The sequence below is a fragment of the Homo sapiens genome, chromosome 1, assembly GCF_000001405.40.
Source record: "Homo sapiens chromosome 1, GRCh38.p14 Primary Assembly".
Classification (NCBI taxonomy): Eukaryota; Metazoa; Chordata; class Mammalia; order Primates; family Hominidae; genus Homo; species Homo sapiens.
Genome location: NC_000001.11, coordinates 245,908,433 through 245,922,132, shown reverse-complemented (window position 1 = coordinate 245,922,132; position 13,700 = coordinate 245,908,433). Strand labels below are relative to the sequence as shown.

The 13,700-nt window shown below is 38.2% G+C and overlaps 1 protein-coding gene across 19 annotated transcripts in view; it reads left to right on the top strand.

Moving 5' to 3' along the window:
- SMYD3 (SET and MYND domain containing 3) overlaps positions 1-13,700 on the top strand; it is a 757,933-nt gene that overhangs the window by 585,147 nt on the left and 159,086 nt on the right. For 18 of the 19 annotated variants that reach the window (NM_001167740.2, XM_047428020.1, XM_024449136.2 and 15 more), the window contains one exon: positions 6,493-6,603. The exons of the other annotated variant lie outside the window; for it this stretch is intronic. In NM_001167740.2, the coding sequence (NP_001161212.1) occupies positions 6,493-6,603 (111 nt within the window). The remainder of the gene's footprint in view (positions 1-6,492; positions 6,604-13,700) is intronic. 19 annotated transcript variants of the gene reach the window in all.

Sequence of the window (13,700 nt, the reverse complement as noted above, 5' to 3'; positions counted from 1 at the left end):
TTCACAGTTAAATTCATTATAAAAGTCCCTGCCCCATTCTTAAGAATGGATAAGTGTAAAAGAAATGTAATTTCATTTACCTTTTGAATTAAGCTAAAAGAATATTTAGTAACCTAATTGTGATTTTTAAAAAAATAATTTCAACTTTTATTTTAGATTCAGGGGGCACATGTGCAGCTGTGTTGCATGGGTATATTGCATGATAGTGAGCTTTGGGGTGTGATGAATCCCATCACCCTGGTAGTGAACATGGTACCCAACAGTTTTTCACCCCTTGCCCTACCTCCCTCTCTAGTAGTGCCAGTGTCTGTCATTGCCATCTTTATGTCCATGAGTACCCAGTGTTTAGTTCCCACTTATAAGTGAGAACATTGGGTGTTTGGTTCGATAGATTCTCTAAATATTTGTTTCCACAATTTATGAGAAATCTGTAATTGCTGGGTTTGGTTTTCTGTTTCTGCATTGATTTGCTTAGGAGAATGGCCACTAGCTGCATTCATGTTGCCACAAAGGACATGATGTCATTCTTTTTTATGGCTGCATACTATTCCATGGTATGTGTATATATATATATATATATATACACCACATTTTTTAGCTCACTGTTGATGGGCACTTAGGTTGATTCTATTTCTTTGCTATTGTGAATAGTACTGTGATGAACACGTGAGTGCATGTGTGTTTTTGGTAGAATGACTTATTTTCTTTGGGTATATACCCAGTAATGGGATTGTTGGCTCAAATGGTAGTTCTGAGCTCCTCTCCAAACTGCTTTCAACAGTGGGTTAACCAATTTACATTCCCACCAATAGTGTATAAGTGTTCCCTTTTCTCCACAGCTTCACCAACATTTGTTATTTTTGGACTTTTTAGTAATAGCCATTCTGACTGGTGTAAGATGGTTTCTCGTTGTGGTTTTGATTTGCATTTCTCTGATTAGTGATGTGGAGCATTTAAAACCATGTTTGTTGGCTGCTGGTATGTCTTCTTTTCAAATGTGTCTGCTCATGTCTTTGGCCCACTTTTTACTTGGGTTATTTGCTTATTGAATTGCTTAAGTTCCTTATAGATTCTGGGTATTAGACCTTTGTCAGATGCATAGTTTGTGAATATTTTCTCCTATTCTGTAGGTCGTTTGTTTACTTTGTTGATAGTTTCTCTTGCTGTGCAGAAACTCTTTAGTTTAGGTCCCACTTGTCAATTTTTGTTTTTGTTGCAATTGCTGTTGAAGACTTAGTCATATGTTCTTTCCGAAAGCTGACGTCCAGAATGGTGTTTCTTAGGTTTTCTTCTAGGGTGCATAAAGTCTGTGGTCTTACATTTAAATTTTTAATCTTTGTATTAATTTTTATATATGGTACAAGGTAGGTGTCTTCTGCATATGGCTAGCCAGCCGTCCTAGCACCGTTTATTGAACAGGATGTCCTTTGCTCATTGCTTATTTTTGTATGACCACTTTTCTATGTGTAGGCAAGGTTGGGAGAATGAGCGTCGGGGTGATGTAATAATCCAGGGAAGAGATAACAGTGGTAGCCTGAAGTCGGGGAGCTCAGGTGGTGGCTTGTGATAGGGTACCTGAAGACTATAATATTAAGAAGATAAAATTAGCAGGATTTGTGAAACAAGGACACAACTTGTGAAACAAGAGACACAAAGATACTCAGGTTTGACTTTAAAAAGAAGTGACATTTTTCAGGCTTTTTTCCAGTTCAGAGCCAGTATTAACAGAAACATTCATAACTGTGATCACGGAATTCTAGAAATGAAACAAGGTCTAATTTTAACTTGGTCATCTTTTTTTTTTTTTTTTTTTTTTTTTTGAGACGGAGTCTCGCTCTGTCGCCCAGGCTGGAGTGCAGTGGCATGATCTCGTCTCACTGCAAGCTCCGCCTCCCGAGTTCACGCCATCCTCCTGCCTCTGCCTCCCGAGTAGCTGGGACTACAGGCGCCCGCCACCACGCCTGGCTAATTTTTTGTATTTTTAGTAGAGACGGGGTTTCACCGTGTTAGCCAGGATGGTCTCAATCTCCTGACCTCGTGATCCTACCGCCTTGGCCTCCCAAAGTGCTGGGATTACAGGCGTGAGCCACCGTGGCCGGCCTTAACTTGCTCATCTTATCCACTCAGTTGTAGACAATGAAAAGATGGTTTCATGGAAAAGGAGTTCATTTTGTCTTGAGATTTTAATGTAAGCTATGTATTCAAGATCTAGAAAATCTCCTTCATTATATTACTCTAATGTCAGAAATGATTTACTGCATTTTCTATAAGAGCTGCACTAAAATGGCAGAGCAGTGGTCAATGGCATTAATATTTTAATGCAATTTTGTTCTGTGCCATTAAGGTGTCTACTGATCAATGGCCAAGTTTCACATATACATTCCCACTAAATGAGCCTTACATTTACTGAGCAGATATTCCATTACAACTAGTGAGTCAATGAGTCTTTAATAAAGGTTTTTATCTTTGGCTAATAACATGATTTTAGCTGTCATTACCAGTTAGTAATCTGGCTGTTTTTTCCCAAAAATATGAATAAAATATTTTTGCCATTAAGCACTTCACAATTGATAACCAGATATTCTGCAGACTTCATTGGCATAAAAGAAGCACAAAAATGGGTGGCTTTCTCTGAGGTAATGGGGCAGTCGCCATAGGAAGAGGTGTATTTGAGCCAAGCTTGGAGGATGAGAGGCTCTCAGGAGGCTGAGTGTGGAGGAGAGGCTCGCTTAGCCAGTGATGCCCAGACACATGTTGGCATGGTGTTCATTGTTTCAGAGGTCTAGCAATGTACATAACTGTGACAGGCTGGGGTTCAGGGAGAGACATGGAGGCTAGAAAGGCAGACAGAAAAACAGCTGAGGGAAATCCTTGTGTGCCTTTATTCAAGGGCAGTGAGAAACCATCGCAAGTTTTTATGTAGAGAAATGACGTGATCACATGTGAGTTTTAGGAAGATCTCTCTCAAAGCAGTTTAGAAGATGAAAGGTACACTGCAGGCAGCGGGGAAGCCAGTTAGAAAGCCATTGCGTAGTCCAGGTAATGGTTCCAGGCAGTTACAGTATGCCGAGGGAGGCTTTAGGAGCCCATTTATTGGGGTTAAATGAAATAACTAGTCTCCTGTTGGCCATTCACTGCCTGACAAGATCACTCATGAGTTTTGGCCCTTGTAATAAAGTCTTGGGTTAGTCAAGCACATTTTTTTCTGGCATGACAGGCCCTGGAGTTAGTGGCTTCACACTGGGCACACTGTAATCTCCCAATAACTACTGTCCATTTACCTGCTCTGATAATGGGAGTTGATGACTAAGAGCCATTGGGCTGGATTCAGAATTAGTGTCCTAGAGTTAACCCAAGAGGGGACATAGGGATGCGCTCATTTGCTACCTCACCTCCTGTAAGGAAACTGGGACCCACAGAGCCTGATAGTATAAGATGAATCTATCTACTGTCCCAGACTTACTCATAGGCTGTTTCAAAAAGTGAGCTTGGAAATAGGTTATTTGGAATTTGGAACATAGCATTCATTAGAAACAAGAGGAACTTGCCTGGTATAGGTGACCCTTTGTGCCTCAGAGGCAACCCTGGCTTCAGATCATGAAGCAAGAGAAACATGGAGGAAATCAAAAAGTGGCTGTTGTCTCAGCTGAAGGATCTCAGTTGCCACAGAACATTCTCTAACACAGGTGTGAGTATTTTAGGTTTGACGGTGCTACGGACACTCCTTAAGGGACGCCAGCTTCTTCTACAGCCCTCTCTCCCTGCCAAGTATGAGAAGCAGCCATGTAAAAGTAAAAAGAGCATCAGACTTATCAAGAGATCTGGGTGCAGTCTTCAGTGTTACCTGAACCCAAGACCTTTGCCAGTTTTTACTGTGCTATGCTGCCTCGCCACAAACAGTAGATACTCAGTAACGTCATTGTCTGTATCTCTTAAGGGCAGATATTCTTGTTTCTGTGTGTGGAGCAGCATGTTATGGTTGCCTAATGTGAAGAATCTATGGAGAGCCAGCCAGCCAGATCAGGCTGTGACTCCTGTCCCGTTGGTGATGGTGACGGCCATGGTGGATTTGACAGATCTGGCTGGCCAGCCCAGCCATCCACCATCACCCCTACAGCTTGAGAGAGTCCTTCCCAAAGCTTTGTTTTCTGCCAGAGAGGGTGGCTGCCTTTGCCCTACTATGATTTCAAACAAGTAAGATCATGCTTTGTAGACATGAGATGCTTTCTTTTAAGTATAACAAAAACCACATGGAGTTTTCTGCTCTAGGGAGTTTTTTGCATCCCTTCAGTGGATAATCCTGCCTTCTTGCTCTGCCAAAGTCTTCACTTCTCCCCCCACCACACATACCGCCATGATTACTTTCTACTTTTAAAAGCAAAGAAGTAATTTCTACAGTCTGGTACAAGCTGATATATGATACAGGAAAAGAAAAACTAGAGCAGGTAAGGGAATTGGGTTGTTACTCTTAATAGGGCATTGAGGTTAGACCTGAACGAGAAAGTGGGATTTGACTGAAACTCAAAGGCGATGAGGGAGGTTGTCATAGTAAACGGGGCAGAAGGGCAGAGGGAACAGCCAGTGCACAGGCCTTGAGGTAGGAGTGTGTGTGGAGCCAGACGGGAGGCCAGCCTGGTGGAGCAGCAGCAATGAGGGAAACTGGGAAATGAGAGGGAACAGGTGGGATTATGTGAAGCCATTGCTTCTCTACCTATGACGAAGGACCAGTTTTTCTTTTCCTTCATAATCTATTGCAGACCAGTATTTTTATAAAATCTAGTGAAAATAAATTATTAGAAAAATGAAGGGCTGGGTGCAGTGGCTTACGCCTGTAATTCCATGGGAGGTCAAGGAGGAAGGATTGCTTGAGCCCAGGAGTTCAAGACCAGCCTGGGTAGCATGGCGAAACTCCATCTCTACAAGAAATACAGAAAATTAGCCAGTGTGGTGGTACATGCCTGTAGCCCCAGCTACCTGGGAAGCTGAGGGGTGGGAGGATCACCCAAACCTGGGAGGTTGAGGCTGCAGTGAGTTGTGATCATGCCACTGCACACCAGCCTTGGTGGCACAGTGAGACCCTGTCTTTTTTTTTTTTTTTAAAGCCCAATGTTTTATTATTAGAGTCACATAAAATTACCCTTACCAAATTAGTAAAAAACATTTCTAAATATTGACTTTGTTTCTTGACTCATGTCGTCATGGACTGGTAACCCACAGTGCGCACTGGCACCAATGCGGGGACCATACTTTGAATTGCACTTGGGGAGTTAGAAGGACCTGGCCTTCACTCAGGCAAAGTGGGGAGCTGTTGTGATGTTTCAAACAGAACATGTCATCTGACATATTTTATGTGAATCACTCTGGCTAGAGGGTGGAGTGCAGGGGGCCTGGAGAAAGAATCAGAGAGACCAGTTGTGAGACTATTACATTTTACAGGTGAGAGGTAATGATGGCTCAGACCAGGATGGTGGCACTGGAAAAGGTAAAAAGTGGTTGATTCTGGGTAGTTTTTAAGGTGGAGCCCGCAGAATTTCCTGGTGGATTGGATGGCAAGTGTAAAGGAAAGAGTGAAGTCAAGGATGACTCTGAGGCTTCAACTTGGATAAGTCAAAAGATGAGTTACTGTCAACTGAGAGTGAGAATGCTCTAGCCGAGATGGAACAGGTTGAGGGGAAGATCAAGCATTCTGTTTTCTGGATTTTGAATTAGACTTTCATAAGAGATCTAATCAAGTGCAAAATGCTCAAGCATTATGATGTTGCCTAAAGACCCGTGACTTAATGGGACTCAGTGTTAGAGAGTGTCCGAGGAGTCCTTTAAATATATCCTCTCATTTATAACCCTTCACCATCCGAGGCAGGGGATATTACTCTGAAAGGGTGTAAGGCAGTCAGTTTGAATGCTTCCATCAGTGGTGGTACTCTCAAGTTAAACTCTCCCCTATTTGGAAATTATTCTACCCCCCCTTTTTTTTCCAAACCTAGATACAAATAAGAGAACTGTTTTCTCATTTCAAAGATACCAAATTTGGATGACCTTAAATTCCATGAGGCAGCTATAGAATTGGTTAGAATTTAAGAGCAATCTGGCTGTATCATCTGCCACCCTTTCGGTTGCCAGGATTAATTTGGCTTCTCTGATTGCTAATGGTTATAGAATTTATTAGCAAACCTTAGTAAACATACAACAGTTTTTGATATTTTCCTGTAGTGAAAAAAACTAAGATACAAAAGTGGGTAGAGATCATAAGACCCGTTCTTTAAATATATGATACATATATATTTACCACATAGCAAAGACTGAAAGGAAATAGATTAAAAATTTACGTGTGATCATTTGGGTAGAGAAACTATAAGCAGTACCTTCTCTCTTATATTTTTGGTTTATAATAAAAACAAGTTTTACTCCAATAATTAGCAATAATAATAACCATTTGTTAAAGAAATGAGCACAGCAGATGTTTCAGCGCTTCCCTCTCTCTGGCCTGCACAGCTCACCATCTGCTACCTGGATATGCTGATGACCAGTGAGGAGCGCCGGAAGCAGCTGAGGGACCAGTACTGCTTTGAATGTGACTGTTTCCGTTGCCAAACCCAGGACAAGGTATGTAGTATGGAACCAGATTGAAACACCTCCACGGCAAAATCTCAATGATCTTCAGAGAACTCTGCCTAGATTTCATAAACCCAAAAGTAATGACCCTCAGTACATGGTAGGAAACAGATAAATAAGATAACTCATTGAACTGCATATATTTTGTTTCCTGGAACTTTTGTCACCCACCAAGCTGAGATTTAACCGATTTAACCAAAGGTAAGGATCTGTGGAGTTTAGAGTCAAGTGGGAATGTAGGCATTAAATATTTAATTAAAAGGATGGGTGAAGGCCAGAGTGCTAGTAGAACATATGTAGTAAGTGGGTTGAATTACGTTATGATTGACAAGTTATTGCTCGGTAAACAACATACCAAGTTTTACCTAGTTTATTTCTTTAAAAATGTTTTTTAAAATAAAATCAGGTTTGTTGAGGTACAATTTACATGCAAAAAATTTACCCTACTTAGTGAGACAGTTCTATGATTTCAACAAACCCAGTCATGAAACTGCCATCAAAATCAAGATACAGAATGGTTTCGTTTCCCAAAAAAGTGCCCTCATGTCCCTTTATAGTCAACCCTACCACCCCTACCCCAACCCCTGATAACCGCTGATCTGTTTTTTATCCTTATAGTTTTTTCCTTTTGTTTTTAGTTGACACATAATAATTGCACATATTTTGGGATACAGAGTGATACTTAATTATGTGTATACTATGTGTAGTATCAAATCAGGGTAATTAGCATATCTGTCACCTCATATATTTATCATTTCTTTATGTCATGAATATTCAAAATCCTCTTTTAGCGTTTTGAGAATATACAATAAAATAAAGTGAACCATATCCCCCTACAGTGCTGCAGATGAGCAGATTCGTTCCTCCTAAGTTTGTGTTCATTAACCAACCTCTCCCCACCTTCTTAGCCTCTAGTACCCACAGTTCTGCTCTCTACTTCCATGAAATCCATTTTTTTTAATTCCCACATATGAGTGAGAACACGGAGTATTTTATCTTTCTGCACCTGACTGACTTTGCTTAACATAGTGTCCTCTAGGCCCATCCATGTTGCCATGAATGACAGAATATCATTTTCATGACTGAATAATATTCCATTGTGTATGTATGCCACATTTTCTTTATCCATTTTTCCATTGATGGACATAGAGGTTGATTTCATCTTAGTTTTTCTGAATAGTGCTGCTGTAATAAACATGGGGCTGCAGGTATCCCTTGGATATACTGATTTTCTATCCTTTGGATAAATACCCAGTACTGTAATTGCTAGATTGTATGGTAGTTCTATTTTTAGTTTTTTGAGAACCCCTCATGCTGTTTTCCATAATGGCTATACTATTAGGTGGGTGCAAAAGTTATTGCAGTTTTTGCCATTAAAAGTAATGGCAGTGGCCTCATTGTAGAGGCCTTTCACCTCCTTGGTTAAATTTATTCCTAGGTGTCTTTTTTTGGGAGTGGGTAGCTATTAATTTTAATGGCAAAAACCACAATTACTTTTGCACCAGCCTAGTATGAGAGTATGTTTTCCCCACATCCTTGCCAGCATTTGTTATTTTTATTTTTTTTGGTCTTTTTGATAATAGTCATTCTCATTGGGGTGAGATGACACCTCATTTTGGTTTTGATTTGCATTTTCCTGATGGTTGCTGATAAGCATTTTTATTGGCCTTTTCTATATGTGTTAGATAAATATCTATTTAGATCCTTTGCCCTCTTTTGAATTGGAATATTTGTGATATTTTTGCTGTTGAGTTGTTTGAGTTCCTTGTATATTCTGGATATTAGTTCCTTTTTGAATGCATAATTTGCAAATATTTTCTGCCATTTTATAGTTGTCTCTTCACTCTGTTGAGTGTTTCCTTTGCTCTGCAGAAGCATTTTGGTTTAATACAGTCTCATTTATCTATTTTTGTTTTTGTTGCTTGTGCTTTTGTGGTCTTAGCCATAAAATCTTTGCCTAGACCAATGTTCTGAAGTGTTTCCCCTATGTTTTCTTTTTTTTTTTTTAAATTATAGTTTAAGTTCTAGGGCACATGTGCACAACGTGCAGGTTTGTTACATATGTATACATGTGCCATGTTGGTGTGCTGCACCCATTAACTTGTCATTTACATTAGGTATATCTCCTAATGCTATCCCTCCCCCCTCCCCCCACACCACAACAGGCCCCGGTGTGTGATGTTCCCCTTCCTGTGTCCATGTGTTCTCATTGTTCAATTCCCACCTATGAGTGAGAACATGTGGTGTTTGGTTTTTTGTCCTTGCGATAGTTTGCTGAGAATGATGGTTTCCAGCTTCATCCATGTCCCTACAAAGGACATGAACTCATCCTTTTTTATGGCTGCATAGTATTCCATGGTGTATATGTGCCACATTTTCTTAATCCAGTCTATCATTGTTGGACATTTGGGTTGGTTCCAAGTCTTTGCTGTTGTGAATAGTGCCACAATAAACATACGTGTGCATGTGTCTTTATAGCAGCATGACTTATAATCCTTTGGGTATATACCCAGTAATGGGATGGCTGGGTCAAATGGTATTTCTAGTTCTAGATCCCTGAGGAATCGCCACACTGTTTTCCACAATGGTTGAACTAGTTTACAGTCCCACCAACTGTTTTCTTTTAGTATTATAGTTTCCAGGCTCACAGTAGTTAATTAATTTTGGTTGATTTTTCTGTGTGGTGACAGATAAGGGTTTAGTTTCATTCTTCTGCACGTGGATATCCACTTTTCTGATGACAAATAATTGAAGAGGTGTCCTTTCCCCACTGTGTGTTCTTGGTGCCTTTGTTGACAATCAGTTGCCTATAAATAATGTGTATTTAATTGTGCGTTTTCTGTTCTGTTCCATTGGTCTATATGTCTGTTTTTATACCAATTCCATGTTTTTTTTGTTAGTATAACTTTGTGGGATATTTTGAAGTTAGGTAGTGTGATACCTCCAGCTTTGTTCTTTTTGCTCGGTATTGCCTTGGCTATTTGGGGTCTTTTGTGTTTTCATGTTAATTTTAGGATCATTAGTTCTATTTCTTGAAGAATATCGTTGGTATTTTAATAGGGATTGCATTGAATCTGTAGATTGCTTTGGATAGTATCATCATTTAACAATATTAATTCTTCCAATTAATGAGCATGGTATGCCTTTCCATTTGTGTTCTCTTCAGTTTCTTTTATCAATGTTTTATAGTTCTTATTGCAGAGGCCTTTCACCTCCTTGGTTAAATTTACTCCTAGGTGTCTTTTTTTGGGGGGTGGGTAGCTAGTGTAAATGGGATTACTTTCTTGATTTCTGTTTCAGGTAGTTCATTATTGGTGTATAGAAACACTGCTGATTCTTGCATGTTGATTTTGTATCTTGCAGCTTTACTGAATTTATCAGTTCTAAGGGTATTTTGGTGGAGTCTTTTAGTTTCTCCGTATATAAGGTCATGTTGTCTGCAAAGGGAGGACAATGTGATTTCTTCCAAGTTAAATGCTCTTTATTGCTTTTTAAACATTTTTATTGATATATGATAGTTGTACATATTTGTGTGGTATATGTGGTATTTTGATACCAGCATACAATGTGTAATGATCAGATCTGGGTAACTGGGAGATCCATCTCCTCAAAAATTTATTTATGTTGGGAACATTCTAAATTTTCTCTTCTAGCTATTTTGAAATATACAGTAAACTATTAACTATAGTTGCCCTATTGTGCAGCTGAACACTAGATCTTACTCCTCCTATTGAGCTGTAATCTTGTATGCATTAACCAACCCCTCTTAATCCCTCTACCTACTACTCTTTCCAGCCTCAAAACCACTATTGTATTCACTATCTCTATAAAATCACCTTCTTTTTAGTTCCCATGTATGAGTGAGAACATGAGATATGTCTTTCTGTGCCTGGCATATTTCACATCATGTGATGTCTTTAAGTTCCATCCATGTTGCTACAAATGACAGGATTTTATTACTTTTCATAGAGGAACTATATTCCGTTGTGTGTGTGTGTATATGTGTGTGTATATATATATATATGGCATTTTTTTTTTTACTTATTGATGGACATTTAGGTCGACCCCTGCCTTGGCTATTTTGAATAGTGCAGCAATAAACATGGGAGTGCAGATCTCTCTTTGATATTCTGATTTCCTTTCTTTTGGATCTATATCCAACGTTTGGATTGTTTGGTTATATGGTAGTTGCGTTTGTAGTTTCTTGAGGAACCTCCTTACTGTTGTCCATAGTGGTTGTACTAATTTACATTCCACCAACAATGTGTGAGCCTTCCCCTTTCTCCACATCCTTGCCAGCATTTGTTATTTTCTTACTTTTTTATAGTAGCCATTTTAACTGGGGAGATGATAGCTCATTGTGGTTTTAATTTGCATTTCCCTGACCATTAATGTTATTGAACATTTTTTTATATATCTGTTGGCCATTTCTATGAATTCAGCATATTTTGCCTGTTCTTAATTGGGTTGTTTTTTGCTATTGAGTTTGAGTTCCTATATATTGTGATTATTAATCTCTTGTCCAATGAATACTTTGCAAATTTTTTTTTCAATTCTATAGGTTGTTTCTTCATTGATTATTTTCTTTGCTGTGCAGAAGCTTTCTAGCTTGATTTGATCTCATGTTTCTATATTTGCTTTGGTTGCCTGTGCTTTTGAGGTCTTGCTCAATAAGTAGTTGCCCAGCTCAATGTCTGAAGTGTTTACCCAATGTTTTCTTATAGTAGTTTCATGGTTTTAGGTCTTATATTCAAATATTTAAGCTGTTTTGATATGACTTTTGTATATGGGGAGAGATAGGGGTCTAGTTTTATTCTTTTGCATATGGGCTATCTAGATTTTCCTTTCTCAATGTATTTTCTTGATGACTTTCTTGAAACTCCATTGACTAAATGTGTGGATTTGTTTCTACGTTCTTTCATGTGTTCCATTGGTCCATATGTCCATTTTTATGCTAGTACCATGCTTACTTTGCTTTTTGTAATTTTATAGAGCATTTTCAAGTCAGGTAACGTGATGCCTCCAGCTTTGTTCGTTTTGTCCAGGATTGCTTTTGTTGTTCCATATGAATTTCCGGATTGCCTTTTTCTTTTCATGTGCAGAGTGTCATTGATATTTTGATATGGATTACATTGAAAATGTAGATTGCTTTGGATAGAACGGTCATTTTAGCAGTATTCTTCCAATCCACATGGGCTATCTTTCCAATTTATTATGTTCTCTTCAATTTCTTTTATCAATGCTTTATACTTTTATTGTAGAGATCTCACTTTTATTAAGTTTAGTCCTAGGTGTTTATGCTATTTTATTGTAGCTGTTGCAAATGGGATTGCTTTCTTTATTTGTTTTCAGATGTTTGCTGTTGGCATATAGAAATGCTACTGATTTTTGTATGTTGATTTTGTATCCTGCGACTTAACTGAATTTATCAGTTTAACAGTTTTTGTTGGAGTCTCTTGGTTCTAGATGTAAGATCATGTTGTCTGTGAACAAGGCTAACTTGAATTCTTCCTTTCTAATTTGAATGCCCTTTAATTTTTTCTCCTGTCTAATTGCTCTGGCTAGGAATTCCAGTACTGTGTTGAGTAAAAGTGGTGAAAGTGGACATCTTTGTCTTGTTCCACGTGGTAAAGGAGGGGCTTTCAGTTTTTCCCAATTAAGTGTGATGCTAGCTTGGGGTTTGTCATATATGGCCCTTATTTTCTGAAGTATGTTTCCCTCATACCCAGTTTGTTAAGATTTTTTTCATCATGAAGGCATATTGAATTTTATTGAAAGTTTTTTTCAACATCTATTGAAATGATCATATGGTTTTGTCATTGATTCTGTTAATGTGATGTATCACCTTTATTGATTTACATATGTTCAACCATCCTTCCATCCCTGAGATGAACCCACTTGATTATGATGAATGATCTTTTTAATGTTGAATTTGGTTTGCCAGTATTTTGTTGAAAAAAAAGTGTGTCTATGCTAATCAGTGATATTGGCCTTTAGTTTTTTGTTGTTGTGCCTTTGTCTAGTTTTAGCATCAGGGTAATGCTGGTTTTACATAATGCTGGTTTTATATATATACTTTGGAAGTATTTCCTCCTCCTAATTTTTCTGGAATAGTGGGAGTAGAATTGGTATTCATTCTTTTTTAAATGTTTGGTAGAATTCAGCAGTGAAGCCATCAGGTCCTAGGCTTTTCTTTGATGGGAGGCTTTATTACTGTTTCTATCTCATTACTTGCTATTGTTCTGTTCACGTTTTCTGTTTTCTTCACGGTTTAACCTTGGTAGTTTGTGTGTGACTGGGAATTTATCCATTTCTTCTAGGTTTTCCAATTTATTGGCATACAGTTGTTGCTAACAGTCTCTAATCATGCTTTGAATTTCTGGGGAATCTGGTATAATGTCCCCTTTTTCCTCACTGATTTTACTTATTTGAGTCTTTTTCTTTCTTAGTCTAGCAAGTCGTTTATTAATTTTGTTTATCTTTTCAAAAAACTTTTTGTTTCATTGATCTTTTGTATTGTATTGTTCTTTAATCTCTGTTTTGTTTAGATCTGTTTGGATCTTTATTTCTTACCTTCTACTAATTTTGATGTTGGTTTATTCTTGTTTTTCTAGTTCCTTGAGATACATTGTTAGACTTTTTAACTTGAAATCTTCCTACCTCTTTTATAGAGGTGTTTATTGCTATAAACTTCCATCTTAACACTACTTTTGCTGTAACCCATACATTTTGATATGTTGTATGTCCATTTTCATTTGTTTGAATAAAGTTTTTGATCTTTTTCTCAATTGCTTCACTGACCCAAGAAGCATGTTTAATTTTCATGTATTTGTACAGCCAAAGTTTCTTTTACTGATTTCTAGTTTTATTTCATTGCAGTCTGAAAAGGTACCTGATATGATCTCAGTTTCTAAAAATGTGTTAAGCCTTGTTTAGAGGACTAATGTATCATTTATCTTGGAGAATGTTCCATTTACTGATGAGATGAAAGTATATTCTACAGGTGTTGGATGTATGTTCTGTAAACATCTGCTGGATTCCTCTGTGGTACAGATTAAGTGTGATATTTTTCTGTAGATTTTCTGTCT